This window comes from Homo sapiens, chromosome 1 (assembly GCF_000001405.40).
Source record: "Homo sapiens chromosome 1, GRCh38.p14 Primary Assembly".
Taxonomy (NCBI): Eukaryota; Metazoa; Chordata; class Mammalia; order Primates; family Hominidae; genus Homo; species Homo sapiens.
This window is the reverse complement of record NC_000001.11, coordinates 165201357-165227364: the sequence shown is the minus strand read 5'-3', so window position 1 is coordinate 165227364 and position 26008 is coordinate 165201357. Positions and strand designations below refer to the sequence as shown.

Sequence of the window (26008 nt, the reverse complement as noted above, 5' to 3'; positions counted from 1 at the left end):
GGTTTCGCCATGTTGCCTAGGCTGGTCTTAAACTCCTGAGCTCAAGTGATCCACCCGCCTTGGCCTCCAAAAGTGCTGGGATTATAGGCGTGAGCCACTGTGCCTGGTTGGCTCTGTGTTTTAAAAACTGAAACACAAGGCTCTACTCTGTCAGCTCTGCTAACCCCTCCTTCACTGTCCATGCTTCTGTCTGCTCTCTTGTGCTAGAATATTTTTGCTTTGTCCTTTATTTTAAATTTATTTAAATTTAAATCCATTCTCTTTCTGTAAGCCTTCTTGAGGAAGCCTGCCCTGATCCCCTGAGACCACATTAGATGCCCCTCCGTTGTATTCCCTCAGCATCTTGGTCTTTACCAAAACACTTCTTAGCCTGTCTTGTAAAGGCCTGTTAATCTTTCTTCTCCTCCACCAGACTGTGATGAAGGCAGGGACTCTGCCTTGTTCACAGATGTATATTAGGCACTTTGCACAACAAATATGTTTAGATGAATACATGATGATGGAAGTGTGAGGATCCTCTGCATACTAAAAAATATTTATCCCTGAAGATAAAGTGTCTATGTAACTAAGAACTCCTTCATTGGGAAAATAAAATTCAACCTTACAGAAGTTTGGTCTATGTACAACTTCTCAGATGCACATCCCTTATATAGAGCAAGGCATTTGATACAAAAAGAAGTAATGTCAACTTAGAACCTGACAGCAAGGTTAAGCTCAGCACCTCTTTACCAGCTGCTGTCATAGCTCATCAGCCACCTATGATTCCCGAAGCTCAGCTGCACCCACAATGGCAAGTTTTTTTCTTGTTTGCCGTGCTTCCCTATAATCTCTTGCTCTAGATCTCACTGGCACTGATGGAGGTGAAACAGCTGACTGTGAGGGAGGACTCATTGAAAGACTTGATCTAGGACACTGAGCTAAGCCCACACATTGGATGGCATTTGTGCTTTGTGAGAGATGCATGACTTTGAATTCACCAGTCTTGCAAACAGAAGGGCTGTTCAGCATTTTGCCTCAGTCCAGGAATAGATGATGGGGAATAGAGGTGGAAGAGAGCACCTTAAGCATGAAGGTAAAGGGGAGATGAATCATGATGCAGATTCCTTTCAGGGGCTCGCTGCCTGCTTACCCACTTAGATGTCCATGGCTTTGGTGCTTAACAGCCATCACACTGATAGAGAGGAGAGAGGCTTGGCCTTGTGCTTGGTGGTGTACTTCCCAATGATGCACAACAAGGGCCAGCCCTGCACCTGCCCGTCTTAGGTTACGTTATACTTGTCCTCACCTTTTCCTCCAGTCATACCATTATTTTTAAAGAGGAAAAGATGGTTGTAAAAAAAAAAGTTTCCATTCTCCCACAATTATCAAAACTAGCAGGAATCACTCTGAAGAGCTGGTTGAAATAGTTGAAAAGGCATGAAGATTCTGTTGACTGAAAGTAAGAATGTGCTGTGATTGCTCACATCTCTTCAGAAGCTCTTACCCAATCTCCTTGTGTGCACCTGCAGGGGTGGGAGTGTAGGGGTGGGGAAAGAGAGAGGTAGAAACATTCTGGATCAGTGATTCTAAAGGTGTGGTTCCTGGACCAGCAGCAGCAGCAGCATCACCTGGGAAATGGGTAGAAAGAGAAAGTCACGTACCCCATCCCAGACCCACTGAATCAGCAACTTGTGTTTTCACCAGCCCACCAGGTGATTTGGGGACATGCTCATTTTGAAAACCACTGCCCTAGAGTCCAGACTATAATTACAGCGGTCTTAGGTTCGGAGTAACAATGTTTTTCCTCTAACCCCTATTTCAACAATAAACTCTGTCTTTTACAAGTAATGACAGTATTGAAGAGTTTTTAATGTTAGAAATTCAAGGCTAACTAATTACACAAAGTGTTTGTGATGGTACTGTCAGCAATGATTTCATCAACATTAAGATCATCTTGAGACACTCAATTTCACCTAAGGGAAATAACCATAAATAATTTCCGAATGATTGTAGTGGAGTTCACTGCATACAATTATAATCAGTTTATAGCAATCTAGGGCAATCTTTCCTTGCAAACAGTATTTATACTTTCCTCACTTAATCTTGTGTTCTCACCAATGACGAAGCATGGCTATGGGAAGGTCTGTCCAAGATTTCTCAGCTGGGAAGCCGCCCAGTCTGCCAGGGCTGAGGGCCTCCTGACCAAGTGCTCCCCTCTTTCCCCCAAGCTGTCCTTGGAGACTATGTGTTGCAGTCACATGAGGACTGGCTGGATAACAAATTGCTGATTGTATGTTCTCCACAGTGCTGTCCACCTTCTCTGCCCTGTTTCCATTTTATTTTCTTCAGTCGCCCTCCTTCTCTCCATCCCTAATTAGCATAATTTGGGGTTTCTCTTTTTCATGACCTGCTCTCCTGTCTTCCTATTGAAACATAACTGGATGGGTACTAATGAGAAGGTGGACTGTTGGTAGCATCAATATCAATGTGAAAGAGATTCAGATTGTAGTTCAAGGGAAATAAATTTCATCCCAGGTGAACCCTAACTGTGGAGGTAGCTAATAATTTCTATAGTGACTGGAAGTTACTGGTTGGCATTGGTGAATTGATTTGTGAAAAGATGGAAAGGCAGAACTCTACAGCACATTTGTTTGTGCAACGCATTGCCAGTGTGACCTTTGGCTTATTTCTCTTCCTTCTATATTAACTGAAACACAAGCTATTCAACAGCTAATTATTAATCTCCTGAGCACTCAGTATGTTGTTGTGTTGTGGAGGATACAAAGATGATTTAGACTTGAACTCTGTTTTCTGGAAGCTTATTCTAATTATATAGAAGACACACAAAATTATAATGCTGATGAAAGCCGGCATTTAGTTAATTTCTTACCATTAACTAGATACCATAAACACTGTACCCCATAGTTCCTGTAACTATCTTGTTGGGTAGGTGCTTTCAACGACCCCATTTTATAGATGGGGCTGCCTAGACTTAATGCAGAGGGAATTTTTGCTGTATTAGTCTGTTCTTGTACTGCTATAAAGACATACAGGAGACTGTGAAATCTATAAAGAAAAGAGTTTTGATTGGCTCATGGTTCCAGAGGCTGTACAGGAAGCATGGAGGCATCTGCTTGGCTTCTGGGGAGGCCTCAGGAAACTTGCAATCATAGAGGAAGGTGAATGGGGATCCAGGCATCTTACATGGTGGAGAAGAAGCAAGAGAAAGAGGAGAGAGGTGCCACACACACTTAAGCAATCTGATCTCATGAGGACTCACTATCATCATGACAACACCAAGAGGGATGGTGTTAAACCATGAGAAACTGCCCCCATGATCCAATCACTTCCCACTAGGCCCTGCCTTCAACATTGGGGATTACAATTCAACATGAGATTTGGGTGGGGACACAGATCCAAACCATATCACTGGCCAAGGCCACTAGCTAGTAAATGACAGAGCAAAATATTTGAGTCCAAAGCATCTCTCTTAGTCACTCTGTTATACTGCCTCCAGAAGTAGGTCAAAACAGAATCTTTATATGGGTGTAGTACACTAGTTTTTTTTTTTTTTTTAAAGTTTGTACTTAGAGCTTAGGATACTGTTTTCCACTAAAATGGTTGGAGAATAATGTAAGACAACATACAAAATTGTCTTCTTGTTTGAATATGCTTGAGTAACTAAAGTATTTGAGATAGACAAACACGTGCTCTGGGTATTTGGAAAGGGAAGAAATTACCATGGACAGGAGCTGAGGGAGGCTGCAAAGAGCAGATAGATTTGGACCTCCCTGTTAGCACAGAACTGTGAATTTAAGAAGCCTTTCTCACTCCTGCAGTCATTCTTTATCCCATTGCTCTGTTTTCTTTTCTGTTTTTCTTTATTCACCATCTTCTCCTACTAGAGGTAGGAAGGCAAAGGCTCTCTTGATCTTGTCCATTCCTCCTTATTCTGGGTCTAAAAGAGTGGTTACACATAGTAGGCACACTGAAGCTGGAGTTGTTGAATGATGGAATTTTCCATATGAGGAGTTTGAGTTTCTTAGCCAGTGGGGATATGTGGTAAGTTCACGAACAGCCAAGAGTCATAATAAAAATATTTGAAATATCTTACACTTTTATTACAACTTTTTTCAAAGTGCATTTATCTACTGTGTCTGTACTGTGTTCATAACAGTCCTATCAGGGTGGCTTGACAGATCTTTATTATTCTGATTTTACAAAGAGAAAAGTAGGGCTTAGAGAAGTTAGGCCATTTTTTTTTTCTTGAAGTGTATAATTTAATAGTGTTTAGTGTATTCGGAGTTGTACAACCATCACAGTCAATTTTAGAGCATTTTTTATCACTCCCCCACCCCACCACCAAAAGAAACTCTGTATTCATTAGCAGTGAATCTCCATTTCCTCCCAAACCTCCTCCCAGTCCTAGGCAAGGTTAGGTAATTTGCCTTAGGTCACACAGCTGGTGAGTAGTGGAGGTAAGAACAAAGGCTAGGTATCTGACCCTGTTTTATCTTGCTCTTTCAGATAGCCTGTTAGTGGTTTATGGAATGGACTGGAGTCTGAAGGCATAGACCCGGCTGGGTATGGGCCTCGGCTTTCCTCTCCAAACCAGCAGAAGGCCTGGTCGGGAACCACGGTGTCTCAGCCAAGGGCTCAAGCAGTCTGATCAGCTGTGGTCATTCAGGCAACTTCTCTCTATGTTTAAAACCACAGTGAATTTGACCAATGAGGACTCACTTTTGCAATGAGAACATTTTGAGTGTTAGTCAACTTACCGCACCTTCCTAACCACCTACAGGATTGTTGTCTTGGTCTTTTTCAATTTGGAGAGATAATTAACCCTTTGTCTTCCAACCCTTGCCTAGAAACAATTTAATTTTCTCAGATAATTTATCCTTCAAAAGACTAGTAATTAATATAGCAGAATTGGACTACTCCAAAGAGAGATGGTATTCGATCCACTTAAGTTACTTCCCAAATTAGGACAAACACACTCAAACCTTATTCATTTGAACCTAATACAATGTCATGCATATAATACTCCAAGCCTAGTGAACCATAGGGAAGCTGGATTAATGAGCTTTTATCTAGACTGAGCTCTGAGCCCCAAACATCTGAATCGACTTGTTATGAGCTCTACAGTCTCCTTCTTGGAGGCTGGCCAAATCAAAACAAAACGAGTTATGGTTTCAGTTAGTATATTTACCCAGGCTTGATTTGAATACAGTGATGTTGGTGGGGAGGAATCTTCTGATATTTCAGTTGCCAGTATTTGCAGTTCTGACAAATCTATGTGTAGGTACATGCAGTATACACCTGTGCTTATCAGTTTGGACTACATTTGGCCATGTTTTTATTAGATAGGAGAGAGAAAGAGATGGAAAAATTCAGAGAGGGAATGATGGAGAGAGAGAGAAAGCGTGTGTGTGTGCGTGTGCGTGTGTGTGTGTGTGTGTGTGTGTGTGTGTGTGTGTAGAGTGGAGACAGAGCTAAGGTAGGTGTTAGCTTAAGATCTATCCAAATGTGAAAAGGCCTGAAACTGATGCAAATCCACAGTAATTCTACCAATCAGTCCCAATACTGTCCTGTTTCCCTGAATACCTGCCAAGCACAAGGTTTCCCTTCATGAGCACCAGCCAGCTGAGGAAAGCAAAGGGAGAGGCATCCAGGCCGTGGCGGGCTGCCAGCACTCAGAGTGGAGACACACAGCTCCCCTTTGGGGCCTGCCTGGACGTCTGAGCTGAAGTGCCCTGCCTCTGACCTGCCCGGTCCCTCCCCCTGCCTGGCCCAGAAACCCCCCTCTGCAGTGGACATCTTTGAACAAAGGTGTCTTTCTTGGGACACTTTACCTACGGCCTGACTCTGGCATGCAGCTTGGTTTCTGTCTGCTCTGCTCCTGGAGTGCTTAGTGCACGGTGCTTGGAGATTTTCCTTGCATTCGCCCTGGTGGGGATTGCAGTGGCAGGGCAGGATAGTTGGGGGGAGTTGGGGGGAGACGGGAGGGTCTGAGGAGATATGGGGATTTAAAATAAGCTCTGCCCCTTTTGTACTGAAAAGAATGGCTTTTCCAGCAGGAGCTCAGGGTCAACCTTTCACCCCCTCCAGAAAGCCTTCCCTTTCTTTCTTCACTCTTTAATAACAATAATGCTGCCTGCAGTTAGACAGCACCTGATATTTTGCAAGCACCACATATCCTTGGATCTTTACAACAACCCGTGAGGCAAATCAAGCAGGTAGGGAGAGATAGGGGTTGAAGAAAGAGCATCCCAGCTGTGTGTCCTTGGGCAAAAGATCACCTTACTTTCTTCTTGGGCCTCAGTTTGCTCATCTGTAAAAAACCGATAACAAGGCATTTCCTGTCTCATAGGGTTGTGGTAGAAACAGTGAAACAATGCAATTATAAAGTGATGCCATGTCAAGTATTAGGTAAACATAAGGAATTTTTAATTCATCTCATAGATGAAGAAATTACATCTCAGAGACATGAGGAATTTTATCCAAGGGCACACAGCTTAGTAGCAAAATTAGAACTAGGATCCAGGTCTCCTATTTTACGGTCAAAGTTACTTTCCACCACTCCACACACCTTCCCGTAGAAAGAGTAATCTTTAATGGTTATTAGTAATTAATGGGAGACAAAGCATTTGATTTTCCACACACTTGGCCCAAGGCATGTACAGATGACTGTCAATTGCTTACTATGTCTGATATGCTGGCTAAACAGCCTGTTCCTTTCCTCCCTGCAGGGGTGCCTCTGGGCCTGGTCCTGGAAGTAGACAAGCCTTGCATGAAACCTGACCCTGCCACCTATGCCCTGTGTCTTTTGGGACAGGTTTCTGCACCTCTTTGAGGCTATGTTTATTCCTCGGTTAGGTGGAAGGCTCCAATAAGACCTTCCATGCCATGAAAGGCTGCCTGTGGCCCCAAAAGGCCCACACTTATCTCTGCACACACCTTCTTCCTTTCCTTCCTGTCCTTTGTAACACCTCCTTCTTCCCACTGGGCTTTCTAAATCCTCTCCTTCCTTACCTGGAAGCCTCCTTCATTCATTAACTTCTCTGGCTAATTGATACTCCTCTTTTCTAAATGCTCACACTTTTTTTTTTCAGTTTTTACTATGCCTGAAGAACTTAACTACTTACACTTTAATATACTTTAGTATCTTTTACATGCCAACTCACTGTAATTCAGTTTTATGTTCCTTAAGAGCAAGGGGTTCTTCTTTTTTATCCCCTCACAGTACTCGGAACAGTGCTGAATGTGTGGTGGAATGCCAGGAACATTCATATTTGAGAAGCCTCCATTCCAGGTCAATGTCTTGTTTCCATGTCATTAGGTATTTTATGCCCTTGGCATAAAGTGCCCTCTCTCCCCTTTTCTCCCTGGCAACTCCTGGTCACCATTTGTGTCATTCATTTTCAGCTCAGGTGACACCTGCACTGTGAACCCTTCCCTAGTCCCCTCTCTTAACTCCTCTGCACAGTTATTATTTTGGTGCTGGGTCTTTATCCTCTACTAATCACATATATCTGTGAGAGCAGAGGCTGAATCTTCATCATCCCTGGATCCTAGGATTGTCCCTGTGCAGTGCTCCACACATTAGCCCATAATAAGTGCTAAGTGTAAGAGTAAATGAAAGAACTCCAAGTCAAATCTTTTACCAGAAACTGTTTTTGGTCTGAGTAGAAACTCCCTTGAAGAACTATGTGTCAGACAGTTTCAAAACAGTAGCTACATGGACTTTGCTTTTCTAGAGAACTGCACTTTTTGCCTCTTGGATTTTAAATTCTGCTTTGAGTTCATTGCATTGAGAGTTGATCGCTGCTATTGTCAGGGAGAATGGAATTTTAGTCCTATAGTGCAGGGCAGTGACTGAAATAGCTTCCTATATATCCTGTCTTCATAAATTCCTCCCTTCTTTCTTTCCCTCCTCCCTCCACTCACAACAAATCCCAGACCCTTCCTCTACTCCCCCTGTCTAAAAGACATTTATGAGGCTCATCTCTGGGGAAGCATCTGAGGCCCATTCCTGCCTCTCCCTGCCCTAGCATGAAGGTCTCTCATCCCCTCCCTCACCCTCGCCTCCTAGGCCAAGCTCAGATATCTCTTGCCCTGTTTATGGGCCGTTGGGATTTTTCCAACAACCTGAAATGAATCTCCGAGGCCCCACAGGTAGTGCAGCTCCGTCTCTGAGCCATAAACCATGGCTGGGTCTTTCATCTGCCATTGCTTATGTCATAAACGAGTGGAAGGAACAGCAAGGGGGAAAACAGCCCTGAACCATTCCAGATTTTTTTTTTACAAGAAAGGGGAAAGAAAGGCCCTGAGAAACATGTTCAAACTTTGTGCCAAGCAAATTCATTTCACTCTGGTAGGCTGTGTGTGGAGACTTAATCTCTGGACTTCCCCACTAGGAGTCAGATTTATGCTGCGTTTGTGTCTAAACGGCCTCCAGGGATGCTGACATTTGTTGTTGGAGAGCAGCGAGTGGTGTTCCTTTCATCTCCGCTGAGGGGTGTCAGCTTAAATTATGAGGGATCGCTCCAGCCTGCATCTGGGAGTGGGAGTCTCTGGCAAAGGAGAGGGGCCGCCTCTCCCTCCACTTCACTGCTCTGCTGTTTAAAGGTTTTTCTTCATCTTCTGCTCTCCAGTACTCCTCTTGGTTCTGGGGGCAGTCTCCTGGCTCTTTTAGAAATGTCCTTTCTCGTGAACAAATCGATCAGTGTAAATTTTAGGCACTGCATATTTTCATGGAGAAGCTGATATCCAAGTCAGGCAGGTCTGCCCCTGCTGAAAGAGAAAACAAAAGCCTCAGTGAGCACCCCAAGAGCAGCTTGGAAACTCCCCAGGAGAGTCAGAGGGCGCCACTATACCCATAATATTTACAACACAGTAGATGGAAGCTGGGTGATGGTTAGCCAGGGTCTGGATTCCTGTTGGCAGCTGGCTTGTGGCATCTATCTGTACTTTGAGAGGTGCCAAAAGGTTCCTCTGTTCCTCCATCTTCAGAATCTTTCTGGCTCAGATGTGCCAGGATGCCCAAAATTCCACATTGGTGACTGTTGGGTAGTGGCATTTCTTATTAAATGCATATATGTTATTGACTGTGGGAGAGAACATATCAAACCATGCTAACCATCAGCAGTGTTTCCTGCCTCCAGAGTCAGAGCTGGAAGAACGGGACACAGGATGTGTAAGTTTTGATGGAGAACAAGAGGTCAGGAGAGGTCTAGGGCAGGGGTCAGCAAACTATGGTATGCAGGCCAAATCTGGCCTGATGCCTGTTTTTGAAATACATTTTATTGGAACACAGCCATGCCCATTCATATTGTCTGTGGTTGTTTCTGTGCTACAATTGCAGAGTTGAGTAGCTGCAACAGAGACTGTGAGGCATGCAAAGGCTAAAATGTTAACTCTGGCATTTTAGATGAAACGTCTGTAGACTCCAGCTCTAGAGCATGAAGTGCTTCTTAGAAAGCAAAATGGAAGATGTAAAGGGATGGAAGAGAATGAGATATTGAATAGCAGGAAGGAGGACTCAAAGAAAGAAAATGCACCACAAAAGCAACAGAAACACTCCAGAGACAAACCACCACTACTACTGCTACCATTAACCCTGAGCAACATGGATTTGAACTGTGCAAGTCCACTTATATGTGGATTTTTTTCAACCAAATGCGGACAGTATTCAAGGGCTGTGAAACCCACATATATGCACTGTGGGAGACCCACTTTTCCTGTAGCCAGGTTAGGCAGGACCAGCTGAGGGACTTGTGTATGCACAGGTTTGAGTATGCACTTGAGTATATGCAGGGGTCCTGGAACCAATCCCTCGTCCCTTTCCCCTTCTCTTCTCCTCGTTTTGAAAACAAATATGTTTTTCTCTTTTCTTTCAGGGATGCGGAGAGAAGGAAGGAGCAGCCACCTGTGGTGCTCACCACCTCCCCTAAAAATAGGCCCCAACGGCTAACCTAGGAGGTGTTCTCCTCCCCTCTCTTTGTTGGTTCACGATGGCACAGCAGTTCTTTGGGGGATGTACACATGTCCCAGGCAAGGCTGAGTACAGCAACAGCAGTAGGAGGACCCCAGAAGGCCCTTAGCCATCCTGCCTCTGGGGCTCTGAACAAACTTCAGAAATTGCACTTTCCTTCTGCAACTAGCTCTAACTCTGCCTCCCTCTGTCGCTCTGCTTTCTCACAAGCACACAGGCACAGTCCACAAAACCAGCTCTACATGTTGGCTAGGGTCATATCTGCAAAGAGAGAGAAATGAACACCTGCAGTGTAAAACCTTAACTGAGACCCCCCCACTGACTGTAATTAACTGACAACACATGTCAGAACTAAGAATATGTCTTTTATGTTGAAATAATAATGATTATTATTGTGATTTATTAAATACCAATTATTTCTGGGTGGTGCTAAACCCTTTACATATATCATCCCATTTAATTCCAACAACACTGTTACTTTCCCTGATGAGAAAATTAAGTCTTGAGAATGTGTTCAGAATCAAACACAGTAACTGGCAGAGCTAGAATTTAAGCCTGAATTTATATAACGCTAAAGGCCATGCTTGTAGATACCATGTCACATTGCTTTCCTGGATTGTATCAATATAAATGAACCATTATCATTATTTTAGACTTTACATTTTCATTAGTTATGTTATCAATATACATTTGCATCAAACTATGTGAGGAGTGACTGTAAAAGGGTCAATGCAAGTACTGTTTTATTGAACAGACTGGTATGAGGGATGAGGTTTCTGGAGATAATACAACTGCATTTTAAAATATATTCTATACTGGGAATCTCCCAGCTCTCTTTCTGAGCCTGGCCTGCAGACTCAGCCTCTTTTCTTGCCTACCTTGAAGGAGATCTGCATGATCCCTGGGGTGGAGCATTAGCTCCATTTCCTCAGAAATGTCACTGAAGTCATCACTAGTGCTAAAGAAGCATTGTTTTTACCCCAGGGAGTTCACCACCAGAGAGAATTGCTGGCCTCACTAAACACCAAAGTTTGGGGTGCCTCTGAGCAGTAGGATCAATAGGGTCTATCCAGGGCAAATCTGTGCAGTCAATGGCTTTCTTTTTTCTACCTTTTATCCTCCTGTGGGATCTTCTTATTTTCCTGAGGCTCTTAGTTCTTAAGTGCTTGTTTTTTCCTTGCCACTCTGAAAACCTTCTAGAAAGATTTTATAATCCCTTCACACCAAGGTTATGTCTGAGATCAGCTTACCACATCACCCCCTGGAAAACAGCAACCTCAAGACTTGAAAATGCCAGAGTAGCCACCCCTTGTCATGAGGATTCTTGCTTTAACTCTCTTCTTTAATCTTGTGGGGGGTTTTATTTGTACTATTGAGAGGGGTGAGGCAGAGGGAAAAGACACCCTTTTCATACCATCTATTAAGAGCCGCCTGAGTGCCAGGACTGTGTTAGTTGCTTTACACACAACAACTCTACTTCTGTGACACCCACTGTGTGGTATTTATTGTTGTTGGTATGTAGTTATGGAAACCAAGGCTCAGCAACATGACATAACTTGCACAGGGCCATACTTACAGCATGGGGTCAGAACTGGGATGGAAACCTAGGTCTGCCTGTATCAGTCCCTTTTCATTTATATTGAAAGGGTCATGTCCTCAGGAACTCACAATTTAGTGTTCCCTTCATGTTCAACCTTGTATGTTCAAATGTTCGTGGAAGGAAGAAGCCATTATCCTTTCAGATTAAATAAGTTTTTTTGGCTCTGGCAGAGCCAAAAATGAGAACTCAGCTAATGTCTACACTAAAACAGCATAGGCCCATGGGCATCCTTCACAGAGGAGGACAGGAGGAAAGAAAAAGGATGTGTAGCTCACACACAGTAGGTCCTTTCATCTTTGCTTTCTTGAAGTGGCCAGAAGGGACTGGCACAGCTGTGGGAAAGCCATTGAGGCAAAGATGTTCACCAGAGAAAAGAGGGCAGTTGAGCTCTGTGAGAACCCAGAGAAAAATGAGGTTCTTGTTAGATCATTTGGGCATAGAATTGCCTATGGCTTTTATTATTATTATTTTGTTTTGGAGACAAGAGTCTTGCTCTGTCACCCAAGCTGGAGTACAGTGGCGTGATCTCGGCTTGCTGCTGCAACTTCCACCTCCCGGATTCAAGCGATTCTCCTGGATCAGCTTCCCGAGTAGCTGGGATTACAGGCACCCACCACCACATCCAGCTAATTTTTTGTATTTTTAGTAGAGACGGAGCTTTGCCCAGGATAATCTCAAACTCCTGAGCTCAGGAAATCCACCTGCCCTGGCCTCCCAAAGTGCTAGGATTATAGGCTTGAGCCACCACACCCGGCCTGCCTATGGCTTTTAATGCCAAAAGTAAAAAGAAGTCTCTCTTACACAGGTATGCCCCAGACCCTAGAAGCACCTTCTCAGGAGTGTGATGTCTGTGGAATGTAAGAGGTAGCCTGGAAAAAAAAGTGACGTATACTAGAGATTTTATTTCCTTTCAGAGTTAACCCTCATGTTGTTCACTGCTTATAGAGTTGAAGTATTTCAAATAGTTAGACAATTACTTTAACAGTAGAGAGTTATTTACTTTACAGAAAAGCAATGTTGACTAGTTATCAGTGTTACCTGTCCATTCTGAGTTATCTGTACTGGCAGGTAATCTAATGCTTTTCTCTATGGCCTTTTTAACAATAATATTTTCTACCACTTGGCAGTAACTAGAGTTTCAGACATAGTGTCTAGGTCTAGTCTTGAAAAATGACATCTAAGAAATAATATTAATCATCAACAGTCAAGGCTCATTGGCATTTAGGGCACTCAGTGCCGTACTGGTATAAACTCATTTAATCCTCACAGCAACCCCAATGAAGTAGATCCTCTCATATATCACTATTTTGCAGAAGAGTACATTTAGTTGTAGAGAGTTAAGTAACTTGCCTGTATTAGTACATTTTCACACTGCCATAAAGACATACCGGAGACTGGGTAATTTATAAGGAGAAAAAGCTTAATTGACTTGCAGTTCTGCATGGCTGGGGAAGCCTCAGGGAGCTTTCAATCATGGCAGAAAGTGAATGGGAAGAAAGCAGGTCTTACATGGCAAAGCAGGAGAGAAAGAGTGTGAAAGAAGCCACACACTTTTAAGCCATCAGATCGTGTGAGAACTCACTCACTATCACAAGATCAGCATGGGGGAAACCGCCCCCATGATCCAGTCACCTCCCACCATGTCCCTCCATCAACACGTGGAGATTACAATTCTGGGGACTCAGAACTAAACCATATCATTGCCCAAGGCCACGCAACTAGTAAATGCGGAGCCAGGATATGATGCTGTGATAAAGCCTGAAGTGTAATGGTGGACTTTCTGCTGCCTGTCTCTGGGTTTTAGAAGTATTTTTCTTAGCCTCTTCCTGGAAGCTTTCAAAGCAATACCACATAGATTATTGCTCTCATACATAAAGCCATCCTGGAAATGTGGACCTGGAGGCCTTGCTATGGAATAACATACAGCTCCAGGAACTGGCTTTCAGGGACTCACAACATTGTCTTTTGCTTCTTTCAGGTAAAAGTGATGATGAAGAAAGTCTCTGCAAGTCAGCCCATGGGGCAGGGAAAGGAACTGCTGAGGAAGGCAAGGACCATAAGCGCCCCAAACGTCCGAGAACCATCTTGACAACTCAACAGAGGCGAGCATTCAAGGCCTCATTTGAAGTATCCTCCAAGCCCTGCAGGAAGGTATAGGAGGGAGCAGGGAGGAAAAGGAGCTGGGCCCCACTTCTCTGTGTGCACTCAGACCCCTCTGGGATCTCAGTGGGCATTGGGGGTCACAGTGGTGAGGAAGGCTGTTCAGACAGAGCCTGCACAGGCGGCTCAAGCCTGTTGGAGACTCCAGAGATCACTAAGCTGTGGCCAGGGTGTGATAGACTCTCCTGAAGCTTTCATGCATGCACACCAACTCCAAATGGCCCCTGTCACACCTTTCATTTCATAGAGCACAATGGGAACAGTAATAATGATAGGTGTCCATTGTGGTGTAGACCCAGATGCTGTAAAGCAAAGAGTATAAAAACACAGTGGCTTGCAGTACTCTTTTTTGAGTCTGGCTTTTTCCACTTGGTGTGGTGGTTTGGGGATTCATTCATTCCTATTTCAGCATTCCACTGTATAGGTGTGCCATGATTGGTTTGTCCATGCACCTGTTGATGGGTGTTTGGGGTTGTTTCTAGTTTGGGACTGTTTCAAATAGGACTGCTATGGACATTCATGTAAAAAAAAATACAGTGGTTTAATGAGACAGGAGTTTATTCTCTTCTGTCACAGTCCAGAGGTGAGCAAGGCAAGGCTGGTGGGTGGCTCTGTTATCCATCTCCTGTGTCCAAGCGACTGCTCCAGTTGTCACCATGTTTCCAGTCACCAGGTAGAGAAAGAGGAAATGGAGGGCAAGCGCCCTGCTTTTTAAGGATGTATCCAGGGGTTGCTCAAATCATTTCTCCTCATATGTGTTGGCCAGAATGTAGTCCTGTGGCCACACTTCCTGCAGGGAAAGTTGGGAAATGAGTCTGTCTGGGTGACCAAGAACTTGCTAAACTTAGTGATTCAATTACTCATAGGATGAAGAAAGAATAGATATTGGGGACAATTAGCAGTCTGCCATAAATAGCAGCGCCCATTTATTGAGTACTTATTGTTTATCGACTGCCTGTCATATACTGAGTACTATCTTTTACATGATAAAAAGAAAGAAAATAGGGTATTCTTTACTGAAATTCATAAAGGAAATACATTTTGAAAAAATGTTAGCATTATTTTTCCTGCATCCTTTTTTGCATTAGTCAGCTTTGTCTGTGATAAAAAAAAAACAAACAAAAAGTCACCATGGTTCCCAACAAACATGTATTTTCTTTTCTTGGGCTGTGCATTGGCTGTGGCCCAGCTGGGTGCAGGTTCCAGCCTGCTCCACCTGTCTATCATTCGAGGGTCCAGGCTGAAGGAGCAGCCCCCTCCTGGGCTTGTTGTTCTCATGAGGTTGGCAGGAAGCAAGAGGCCAAGTCAAAGTGGGAAGCCCATCGAAAATCTCTTGCTGGATATCAGACACATCACATCCCACAGGCCAAAGCAAGGCATGGGCTTAGCCCAGCGTAGGTGCAGTGGTGAAGCACACACCCACCACGGAGCAGGGGAGGGAAGGATAGATATTTGTTGAGCAATAGTCCAGCCTATCACAACTTCTGATATTTGGAAAGATTCAGCTGCAGACTCACTTTTTCTGCCCTTGCAGCTCCTTATGCTCCAAGAGAGGTATCAGTAGAAAGTAAAATGCCCCCAAATTGGGCTTGCACTAGGACAAATTACAGTCTTCCTCACTTATTTACTTCTTCCATGTATACTAAACTCCCAGCCCATGTAGGGCTTTGTGCTGGGTGCTTGTCCCCGGGCAGCTTCCAGGTAACCAGCAAGAAGGAGATGCGTGTACACATTACTGTAACACCAGAGAGGGGGCTCTGAGGACCATAACAGAGGGGAAGCCAGGAAGCAAGGGAAGGGAAAGGTCACTTTGGTCTGGGCAATCAGGCAAGGCTTTGTGGAACAGGTGGCTTTTGAGCTGGGCCTCTGAGGAATGGATAGGGTTTCAGCAGGTGGAGGTGGGCCCCTGAGTACACTCCTATTTTAGTTGGCTTAGCAGAAGGATGTGCTATAAAAACCTGTTCTAATCATTCCACTTCTAAGCCTTTCCCCAAGTGGCATGATAAAGGGGAAGTATTTCTCAAGGCTTCCATTTGCTCTACTCACACGTTTATTCAAGGAGCTCTTTCAATCCCATCTCCTCCCCAGGATCTAATCAAGAGAGGTCAGTGTCTCTCAGGCCCCCCTCTGAAAATCTGTGCTTCTTGCCCCTTCTCTTCTCAACACCTTGCCAGACCCTCACTGTGTGCCTGTATGGTAGGCAGATGTTTAAATGCATCTCTTTATTATCTGGATCCCAGTTGTCCTGTCTCCACCACAGCCCTGGCACATGTGCTGGCCTCAGAGTTGCCTACCTGGCTCTGCCGGGTTCCAGATGGCTCTCATTTTATTCTCTTTGGGCAGGGCTCACTTGGGGTAGCAGTCACTATGGATATTCATGAAACACCCAAAGTTACCTAGAGATATGAGGGACAAAACCAAAAATTAAGGTCAATGAATTTAGGCAAGAGAGGAGACCAAGAGAGAGCCATTTGTTTTTCCAAAGTGATTTTCACTCTCAGATCTCCTTAAGTAGGTCAATGCATATGCATGGCTTATAGCTAAAGCACAACAATAGACTAAAGTCTAAACCACTTGAAGGCCTAATTTCCAGAGCAAGAGAAATCCAGAAACACCTCTTGGGAATGCACATGTAAATTAATAATTATTATTTTGTTTCTTTACCTGGTGAAGGACTTTCTTTCTACCTGAAGGGAAGCAATGTTCTCGTGTTTGTGTGTATGCTCAACATTAAAAACTATTCAGCTCCTAAAGCAGATACAGTCTTTTGGCCTCCTCAAGTATTATATAGGAGATGTTCTACCTCCTACCCTGAGATGCCAGTGTGTCTACATTTCTCGTTCAATTTTTCCAAGGTGAGAGAGACTCTGGCTGCAGAGACAGGGCTGAGTGTCCGTGTCGTCCAGGTGTGGTTCCAAAACCAGAGAGCGAAGGTAACCTGCTTCTTACTTTTATCTGTCCCCATGTTGCTGGTTTCCTGAAATAATCACAGTAGGACATTGTACTTGCTGCCAGGTTTTCTCGCCTTAGCTCATTGGATAGAGTAGTTCTCTTGATTCAAAAATTCTGTTATCAATAATTATTTTGGCCACAGCAGCCCTGCAGAAGGGGAGAGAGAAGGCATTCATTTTAGTGAAATTGCTTGTATTTTCCTAGCAGCCATGACTGTGGTTTTGGCCAGCCATCTGTATGAATAAATGTCTTTCTGTGTCTTTTGGTAAAAGCATGTTCTTTAATTCATATTTATTTAATGCAAATACCAAAGTTATTTTAAAAGTAGCATGCATATAACTGGTCCAAGACAATTTTATGACAGGGTAGAATGAGTGCCTTTTCTTACTTCTCCCAGGGCCCAGCCCTCACTAATATAGGCCCAAGCCATCATACTGTCCTCTGGATCCAATGAAGCTCTATATTCCCTCATCATGGTTTTAGTTTTAGACCTTTTGCTCATTCATCTACCTACCTCTAAAAATACATGTGCCCTGTGGACTGTTTCTCAAGAGCCCTGATCTTTAGTGGATGATATGAGGAAAAAACAAACTCTATGTTTCCTCTGCTCTTACACTACAACAATCAGCGCAGAATGCTTCTGTGACAAAATATGTGGAGATATTCTCCATACACCAAGCAAGCAATCAATTGTGCAGTGGATACCAACTGGGTGTCCTCTAATTCTGACACTCTCTACCTGGAAATAGTGTCAGATTTCACAGGTTGAGGGTTCAGCCCCACAAGACTGCCCTCCTCTTCAAATGCCAATTGCAAGCTCCAGGTGGTTTTACCTATGCTTCGGATCAACTGGCTATAAATTGGGATTCCAGTGACCCCACCCCTTGGATTTGATTAATTTGCAGAGCATCTCACAGAATTCAGGGAAATACTTACTTATATTTACTGCTTTATTACAAAGGATATTACAATAGATGTGAATAATGTGATGCATATGGCGAGAAATGGGGGAAGGGTGTGAAGCTTCCATGCCCTCCCTGTGCACCCCAGCCTCCAGGAAATTCCATGTATTCAGCTGTCTGGAAGCTCTCTATCCCCATCCTTTTGGGATTTTATGGAGGTTTCATAATGTAGGCATGATTAATTAAATCACTGGGCATTGATGGTCAACTTAACTTTCAGCCCATCCCTTTTCCACAGAGGTTTGGGGGTGGGGCTGAATGTTCCAACCATCTAATCATACCTGGGTCTTTCTGATTATCATTCTCCACCCTGAAGCTACCTAGGGGCTGACAGCTGTCAGTCAGTCATTAACATTCACATAGGTATCACTCTGGAGAGTCCAAAAATTTTAGGAACCGTATGCCAAAAAACAGGGTCAACGACCAAATATATGCTTTACAGTATCACAGGTTATCTCACTATTTGATCATGATTGGTTAAGGTAGCATTTCTCTAACTGACATCCTCAGAACAGGGCTGTTGATGTGTACCAAAGAAAGACTCCATAGTGCAATAAGTTGCAGAGGCCCTATAGCCTATGGATTCATAAAGCACAGGGACACATTTAAAGCTCTGAAAAATCTTGCAATAAAGAAAATTTTTACAAAAATCTAGTGTTTCCTACACACAGACACATACACACACTCAAAGTATATGTCATCATCTCGTGGAACCCTAATGCTCTATGGAACACAGTTTGAGAAATATTGAGTTAAAATATTCCTTCAGGGGGCCGGGCGTGGTGGCTCACGCTTGTAATCCCAGCCCTCTGGGAGGCCGAGGCGGGTGGATCACGAGATCAGGAGATCGAGACCATCCTGGCTAACATGGTGAAACCCCGTCTCTAGTAAAAATACAAAAAAATTAGCCAGGCGTAGTGGCGGGCGCCTGTAGTCCCACCTACTCGGGAGGCTGAGGCAGGAGAATGGCGTGAACCCGAGAGGCGGAGCTTGCAGTGAGCCGAGATCGCGCCACTGCACTCCAGCACTCCAGCCTGGGTGACAGAGCGAGACTCCGTCTCAAAAATAAAAAATAAAAAACTATTCCTTCAGGGAAGCTTGCGTGTTAGCAGGGTGCTTTGGAAGAGGCATGAATCTCTGGGTAGGCTCATCTCAATCTTAAGGGCCAGCAGACAGGGAGGAGGAAAGGAACAGCCTCTTAGCTTACCCCAAATCACAACCTCTTGTTCCATACGTCTAGGCTGGGCTGCAGATTTCACAGTCACACACTTATTACCTAATGTAAAATGGTCACACCACAAGCAGCAAGTTTTATTTACTGAGGAAAAAATCCCTATTCCTGCTAAGACAAGCTGCACCCCTGCTTCCCAGCCAGCTGTCTTTATACTGCTGCAGAGTGGAAGAGCTCTCAGCTGCAATGCTTCTCGCATATGGGGCTGGCCACTGTTGCTCCTTTACTAAGTAAGAGCCAGAGCTTTGCCAACAAGCCCTCTCCCGGGGAAGGTGTCACTTCCAGGCCCCCCCTTACTTTGTGAACATGCTGCAGGCCACCTGACTTCTAATCCTATGGTCCTCTCCTTATCAGATGAAGAAGCTGGCCAGGCGACAGCAGCAGCAGCAGCAAGATCAGCAGAACACCCAGAGGCTGAGCTCTGGTAAGCTGGTGCCTCCTCCCAGGCAGTTCTGGCTGGAATCCAGGCTGTTCCTACCAGAGGCCTCCCACTACCCAGCTCTTTGGATGACATATCTGGACTCAGTGAAGCCTAGACCACACCCACTGGAGAAATAAGGCCTTCAAGGGAAGACTGAGCCACGAGGAACTTGTGAGAGGGTTGAGGGCTCCTGAGCTGCAGGCTTAGAACTGCTGATTGGGGATGGCACTGACCTTATCCACAGCGTCCAGGCCTGGATCCCACCACAGCGTCAGGGACTGCTTGCAGAGTCACAGATACGTTCAGTTTCTCATCTTGCTTAGTTCTCCTTCCAGGCTAATTGATTTAATAGAAGACACCTCGGTGACTTGGCTCTTTCCAAAATAACATAAAGTAGTAAAAATAATGATAGTAAAATAACAATGCCTTCCTTTGTTGAACACTCTTATAGATTGGTGTTCTCATACATGCTGACTTGACTTTTACAACACCCATTCCTGGAGGCGAGTGGAGAAGTTGTTATTATCCCTATGTCACAGATGAGCAAACAAAGGCTCTGCAAGATTGAATGTGGCCCTAGATCGGTAAGGGCAGGGGGCTGGGACTAGAACTCTAACTGTGTTCCACAGGCCATGGGCCTTCTCATCTCTACCCAGATGTGCTTTTGAAAAAGTCAGGGTGATATGAGGATTAGGGAGGAGGGTGAAGAGGAACAGACTGTGGGAGACTTCATGGAAGTTAAAGGAAAAAAAAAAAGAAGAGTTACTATATTAGAACAATGTCATTCTTAAACGCTATGCCCCTGGCCACCCAACTCAGCTATCCAGAATTCCTTGAATGGTCTGTACCTTAAAACAGGGCTTCTTACATTTTAATATGCACGTAAGTCACCTGCGATTTTGGTAAGGTGCAGATTCCAATTCATAAGGAAGGTCTGGGTGGGCCCCAAGATTCTGCCTTTTTAACAAGCTTTTTGGTGGTGCCATTGCTGCTAGTCTGTGGACCACACTTTGAAATCTGTGGACCACACTTTGAAGTCTGTGGAATGTGATCCTAGTTCTCTGGCCCCTCAACAGAGCCTCTTATCCTCACATGAACCCTGCCTTGTGCTTGACACTGGGTCTAGGCTTAATCCAGAATTTGACTCTTGCAGCCAAGAGTTCCCTTAGTTTCTTACCTTCTAGACTAAACAGTATGTTAACAACAAGGTAGATGTTAGGGAGAGAAGAAATAAAACAGGGCATAGGTGTGGGGAAGGGTGGAGCAGGAAGCTGGTTAGATCTGAATTCTGCCCTCAGCTCCACCCCTAAGGCTCTTTATGTGGGACCAACTTTTCCTTGTTCCTCAGGCTGTGTGCATCCCTAGGGTAGGGCCCTAATGCCTGCTAGTCCTACCTCACAGGACCCCTGTGCAATTCAAAGGGAGAAGAATGCATCAAAGCATATGAGAACACAAACTCATATGGCTTGGGACTTAGTTTAAATAATTCTAAAGGCGCTCCAAAGGTAGACTTAAGAAAGCAGAGGCTGGTGGGAAATAGTCTCTGTTCTTCCCAGGTTCAGAGAACCTCAGCAAGATGTGGAGGCAGGAAGTGAATCCTGCTTTTCTTATAAAATTCTATCTACAAGCATAGCAAGATATAATTCCAAAGCATACACAGTCCTATGGAATCTTCCCATCAACCCAATGAGGTCAACTGGTCACAACTCCCACTTGACTGATGGGCTCATACTGGGTTATCGTAGAAAGATCTTTAGATACATCTATTCTAGTGACTGCCAAACATGTGGCTAGCATCAAAACCTTTGTTGAAATAATATATTTCAAGGATGTTCTCAAAGTTCAACATCCCAGCCCCTACCCTGTTCCTGTCCTCCAAGGTGATTCCTGATGGCCTCTGGTAGGACAAAGGCTGGGACCACTGATGTCACCTCATCCCATTTTATTTTATAAATGAGGGAATCAGGACCCAGGGAAATCACATGCCAGGCTGCACGTTGAGAATGACCTGGCTTCTTCTTTGTTCCACAGCTCAGACAAACGGTGGTGGGAGTGCTGGGATGGAAGGAATCATGAACCCCTACACGGCTCTGCCCACCCCACAGCAGCTCCTGGCCATCGAGCAGAGTGTCTACAGCTCAGATCCCTTCCGACAGGGTCTCACCCCACCCCAGATGCCTGGAGACCACATGCACCCTTATGGTAAGAGGGACTTAAGCCCCTCGGGCCCTCTCATAACTTGTGTGGGTTTCTCATTCCCTCCTAAACACATCTAGGCAGTTCCCAGATGCTCACCGAAGTTCCAAAGCAGAATAATGTGCCCTACAAAATACTGCCAGAATCGCCTAACCAATGACTACAGGAGAAAGACCTTCATGCATATTCATTATTGACACTTCCATTTATCTTGTTTTCAAAGCTTCTTGTTTGTTGGTTTTAAATGGGAAGTTGTGCTCTCCTTGTAGACCTGTTTGTTGTCATTGAATTGCAAGTCTTGCGCTTCATGCCAGAGATCAGCAGTATCAGTGCTACAGAAGGCCTTAATTAAGCAAACGTTTACCTAAAGTAAGAAAAGAAATAAAAAGCACAGAAGACAAATTTTCTAACTGGACTATCCTACTATGGATACTAATAGGTGCTCTAATTTAACTAGTGAAACATAAACTGACTTGTAAAGTGAAAGTATCTCCCTTATACCCACCCCACCCAAAGAAGCATTGATTTAAATGCTGCATATATGGGTAGCTGAGCCTCTCCCACTTACCCAGCTTCGTGCTTAAGCTAATGGACAACAACCGGGGGCCTGAGGACCCAGAGTAGGGGGCTGGGTGAGCTTTGGAGTGAAGGCTCAAGTTCAACCTCAGCCAAGTATAGGGCATTACATTTTATACAGAGAAGGTTAGTGTTGTATGTAATGCATTGGTCTGTACTGTGTAATCTGATAGATTACACTGATAGTTAAAAAATAATCTTATGCAGCAAGTCTTCAAAACATTAGTATCAGAGATTCACGCCACAGATCACAGATTTTGCCAAACAACTTTTTTTTTTGCCTTCATGAAAAAAAATTCTGTTGTTAAAATCACGCCTACTTTCCCATATCACACATTCAGCAAACATTTATTAAGATTTGGCCCTTGACAAGCCCTTCACTGGCTGACCCCACTCATTGGATGTTCAGTGATAGCCACCCTCTTGGCTTCCTTAGAAGGCACAGGTCACATCTGTACCATTCTTTACTCCACAGCTATCGGAAAACAGGGCAAACACATTTTTTTGCAAATTCTTTTCAGAGTCTCAGGGATTGTGTTACATGAAGTATCCCTGTGATGAGTCCTTTCATAAAATGAATATTTAAAGCCCCATGACAAGTTGTATAAACTCCAGTTTTCACCTCTCCTATTTACTTGAAGCAGAGGCAGAACATTCTTTGCCTCCAGATCCTGGTTGCAGTGATTTCTCAGCTGTTCCAATGTGTGCCCTACTGGCTTCCCTATCAAAGGTGTAAATTAGTTGAAGGTAGGCACCTAACCTTCCTTTTCTTTGCATTACAAATTTGGGGTAACAGCTGATAGTAGACCCTTGGTGTTTGAAAGAACAAATGTTATCACAGGAGTTTTCATTAGCTTCACTCAAAGAGCTTTCTTTTTGTTTTGTTTTTTTGTTTGTTGGTTTTACCATCCCTCCTTCAAGCATCATTTTTCAGGCCCAAGTCCTATAGGAGCTCTGCCCTGTCTCTCCAGCCTCTGGTGACATGTCCTGCCTACTCCCCACACTCCCTGTCTAGACATTGTGACATTTGCTTATGCTGCACTCAATTTAGCACTTTGTCATATCCTGGTTTAGATTGTTTTCACTTGTTGCACTTTGGACTTGAGCCCCCTAAAGAGAATATAGACTTTTTGTAGAAAGTTTCACCTGGAGCCTGTGCTCAGGCAACACTTGTTGAATTCAGCTGAATATCCTAGCACTGAAATGAGTCACTTCTTCAAGACCCTCATGCCAGTGTTTCATCTCCATTTCAGGTGCCGAGCCCCTTTTCCATGACCTGGATAGCGACGACACCTCCCTCAGTAACCTGGGTGATTGTTTCCTAGCAACCTCAGAAGCTGGGCCTCTGCAGTCCAGAGTGGGAAACCCCATTGACCATCTGTACTCCATGCAGAATTCTTACTTCACATCTTGAGTCTTCCCCTAGAGTTCTGTGACTAGGCTCCCATATGGAACAACCATATTCTTTGAGGGGTCACTGGCTTTAGGACAGGGAGGCCAGGGAAGAGGTGGGTTGGGGAGGGAGTTTTGTTGGGGATGCTGTTGTATAATGATATGGTGTAGCTCAGCATTTCCAAAGACTGAATACATTATGGATTGCATAGTTTAATGTTTCTAATAAGAGTCTTAGCATTAGATATGAAGACGTGTTTATCATTAAGGACAGAGACTTTTAATATAGACATTCTCATGCAAACTAGATACTTAGGGACTCCTAACAACTTCCCACCATGTCGGGGAAGCTCTTGTCAAGAGGTGCATATGTCTATCCATCTACACACCAATAGACAGAAGGACAGATAGATAGATGTGTGTGTGTGAGTGTGTAACCTTTCGTATTTTACCCTCAAAGTTTATTCCTAATTATAACAGACACCAACTGTACAGCAAAAGTAACTTTATTTTCAGTGTGAACTATATTTAAGGAAATGCTTGATGCACTTAAGTTATAAAATGAGATAATTTACTTTTATAAACTTTATTTTTAGCTTGACAAGACTTGTCAGCAGGGCAGAGAGGGCTGCTCCACCTAGCCCCATAGCTTTGAGTGCTGGGGTTCATTCTGTTTTCAGAGTGTCTTTCAGATCTGGAAAGAAATTCTGTGTGGCTGATGGTGTTCTCTCTTGCATTCTTGCTCTCTTTGGGGTTGAATCACTGGGCAGGGGTGGGACAGAATAATCTCTGATCATGTTCTGAGAAAATGTAAAGCCCAGACTCCTGGGCTTTCTTTTAAATTCTGACAAGTGGTTGTTGGGCAGTGCTAGGATGATTGGTTCAGCTCTTGAGCTTCAGCATCTGCAAATGTGGATGAGGCTAATAGTATGTACCTACCTCACTGGGAAACACCAAGGCTTAATTCATTCCCAGGACACATGAGCAGGGCTGAGACTAATATCTGATATTTGTTTAAGATACAACCAGGCCACTCACTTGGCAAAGGAGGGTACATAGGGTTGCAGAGCAGGAGGGCTCCTGAACTCCAGAGGGCAGTTCTGCCTGCTGAAGTCCCTCTGCAAAGCCTGTGCTGAAGGAGACACCAGCTCAGAGCAGTTCAGAGGGATCCCAGAGTCCCAGAGTGGGGAGGAGGTGAAGGCTGAGGGGATAGAGGAGGGCCTGGTGGTGTTCTAGAGCAGGGTTGGGCAAACTCCTGCTTGCGGGCCTGCTTTCTATGGCTTGCCAGCAAAGAATGGTTTTTACTTTTTTTTTGAGGTCATTAAAAAAAAGGAGAAGAAGAATATATAACAGGCTGTCTGTGGCCTGGAAAGCCTGAAATATTTGCTATCTGTATTGTCTGGCCCTTACAGAAAAAGTTTGGGGCCCCTTGTTTTAGAGGGTCTGTTTCTAAAGAACCTCATGGCGCTCATAGAGGCAGAAGGTTCCAGTGGAAACCCTTGGCTCTTCCTTCCAACTCACTCCTCTGATCCTCGGCACAGAAGACCCAGCAGCCATTGTACATGGGGACAGTTCCACACCCTGGTCTCCAGTTGCGGTGCTAGGATGGTATTGTTCTGTGCTAGGAAGTCTCCTGGGAACCCAGAATGAGTTGGTGGGGAAGACAGCGGGTCACTGTGGACCCATCCAGGAGGGGCCAGGATAGGCTTGGCCTCATTTCTGGGGACATCATTGGAGACTTGAACACAGAGACACGTCCCTATCACTCTGGCAAGGCCAGAGGGAACATGTCCCCTTATGGTAGAGTCTATGTTGTGTGATTTTTGTGCTCTTGTTTATAATTTATGCAAACCACCAAGAAACCCAAACCAGTCTGATGAGTGAAAATTATGCAGATGCTGTATGGCCCCACAGGTTTCTGTGGTAAAGACCAGTTGGAGAATGTAGGAGATACTATGTGAGTGAAAATGAATAGAGATCCTTATTCCACTCCTTAATGGCATACCAAGATGAAATTAAAATCTCTTACAAATGAGCTGTTGTTTATTCAGGGGTGGGATGGTTGGTGGGGAACCAGGGGGATGTGGGAGTTTTGTCTACAAAGCCATGGGGATGAGCTTATGGCAAAGCTTTGAATGAATGGAAAGGATGACTACAGCAAAACATAAGGAGAAAAGGGTCTTCAACTTCTTGCCAAGATGGACGAAGACTCCAGTCTTTACAAAAAAAACCCCACAGAAGGAGGCAGTGGGAGCTTTCCATCACCACCGTCAAGTTCCCTCAGGGCAGAGCAGTTTGTGATACGTGATGAGGGAACATTTGCTTGGAAATCAGAACAGAGTGATGGGGCAGGAGAAGGATTTCTCATGCAGGCCTGAAGGCAGATGCCTAGCCAGGATGGGAGAGCCAGGCAGCAGATCGTGGCTCCCTGACAGAGTCTCCCAAAGTTCTCAACAATTTTAAATGTGATGTATGGTGGGCAATTAGGACTATGGAGAAAAGAAGTCAGGAAACAGTATGGAGATAAGACCAGGAGACATACTCA

General features: G+C 44.4%; 1 protein-coding gene and 2 long non-coding RNA genes across 8 annotated transcripts in view; 1 reads left to right on the top strand and 2 right to left on the bottom strand.

The window, feature by feature from the left end:
* LMX1A (LIM homeobox transcription factor 1 alpha) overlaps positions 1 to 25498 on the top strand; it is a 154849-nt gene extending 129351 nt beyond the window's left edge. For 3 of the 4 annotated variants that reach the window (NM_177398.4, NM_001174069.2, XM_011509538.4), the window contains 5 exons: positions 13552 to 13724; positions 16589 to 16666; positions 19233 to 19302; positions 21331 to 21501; positions 23325 to 25498. In NM_177398.4, coding sequence (NP_796372.1) covers positions 13552 to 13724; positions 16589 to 16666; positions 19233 to 19302; positions 21331 to 21501; positions 23325 to 23485 — 653 coding nt within the window. In that variant the 3' untranslated portion in view covers positions 23486 to 25498. Of the gene's footprint in view, positions 1 to 13551; positions 13725 to 16588; positions 16667 to 19232; positions 19303 to 19750; positions 19878 to 21330; positions 21502 to 23324 lie in introns of those variants that run through there. The other variant, XM_011509540.3, reaches the window with a different exon arrangement.
* On the bottom strand, positions 8321 to 11410 carry LMX1A-AS1 (LMX1A antisense RNA 1). The gene is made up of 3 exons (NR_183535.1): positions 11224 to 11410; positions 10112 to 10234; positions 8321 to 8772 (listed from the first exon to the last, which is right to left on the bottom strand). It is a non-coding gene; the product is annotated as an LMX1A antisense RNA 1 (long non-coding RNA).
* On the bottom strand, positions 14442 to 23318 carry LMX1A-AS2 (LMX1A antisense RNA 2). Of its 3 annotated transcripts, XR_922234.2 has the most exons (6): positions 23218 to 23318; positions 21595 to 21859; positions 19533 to 19635; positions 16398 to 16832; positions 16028 to 16129; positions 14442 to 14523 (listed from the first exon to the last, which is right to left on the bottom strand). It is a non-coding gene; the product is annotated as an LMX1A antisense RNA 2 (long non-coding RNA). The 3 variants fall into 3 exon arrangements; XR_922233.3 differs by lacking the exons at positions 21595 to 21859; positions 23218 to 23318 and having other exon boundaries at positions 19533 to 19783; XR_001738275.2 differs by lacking the exons at positions 16398 to 16832; positions 21595 to 21859; positions 23218 to 23318 and having other exon boundaries at positions 19533 to 19783.
* Positions 25499 to 26008: the final 510 nt, after the last annotated feature.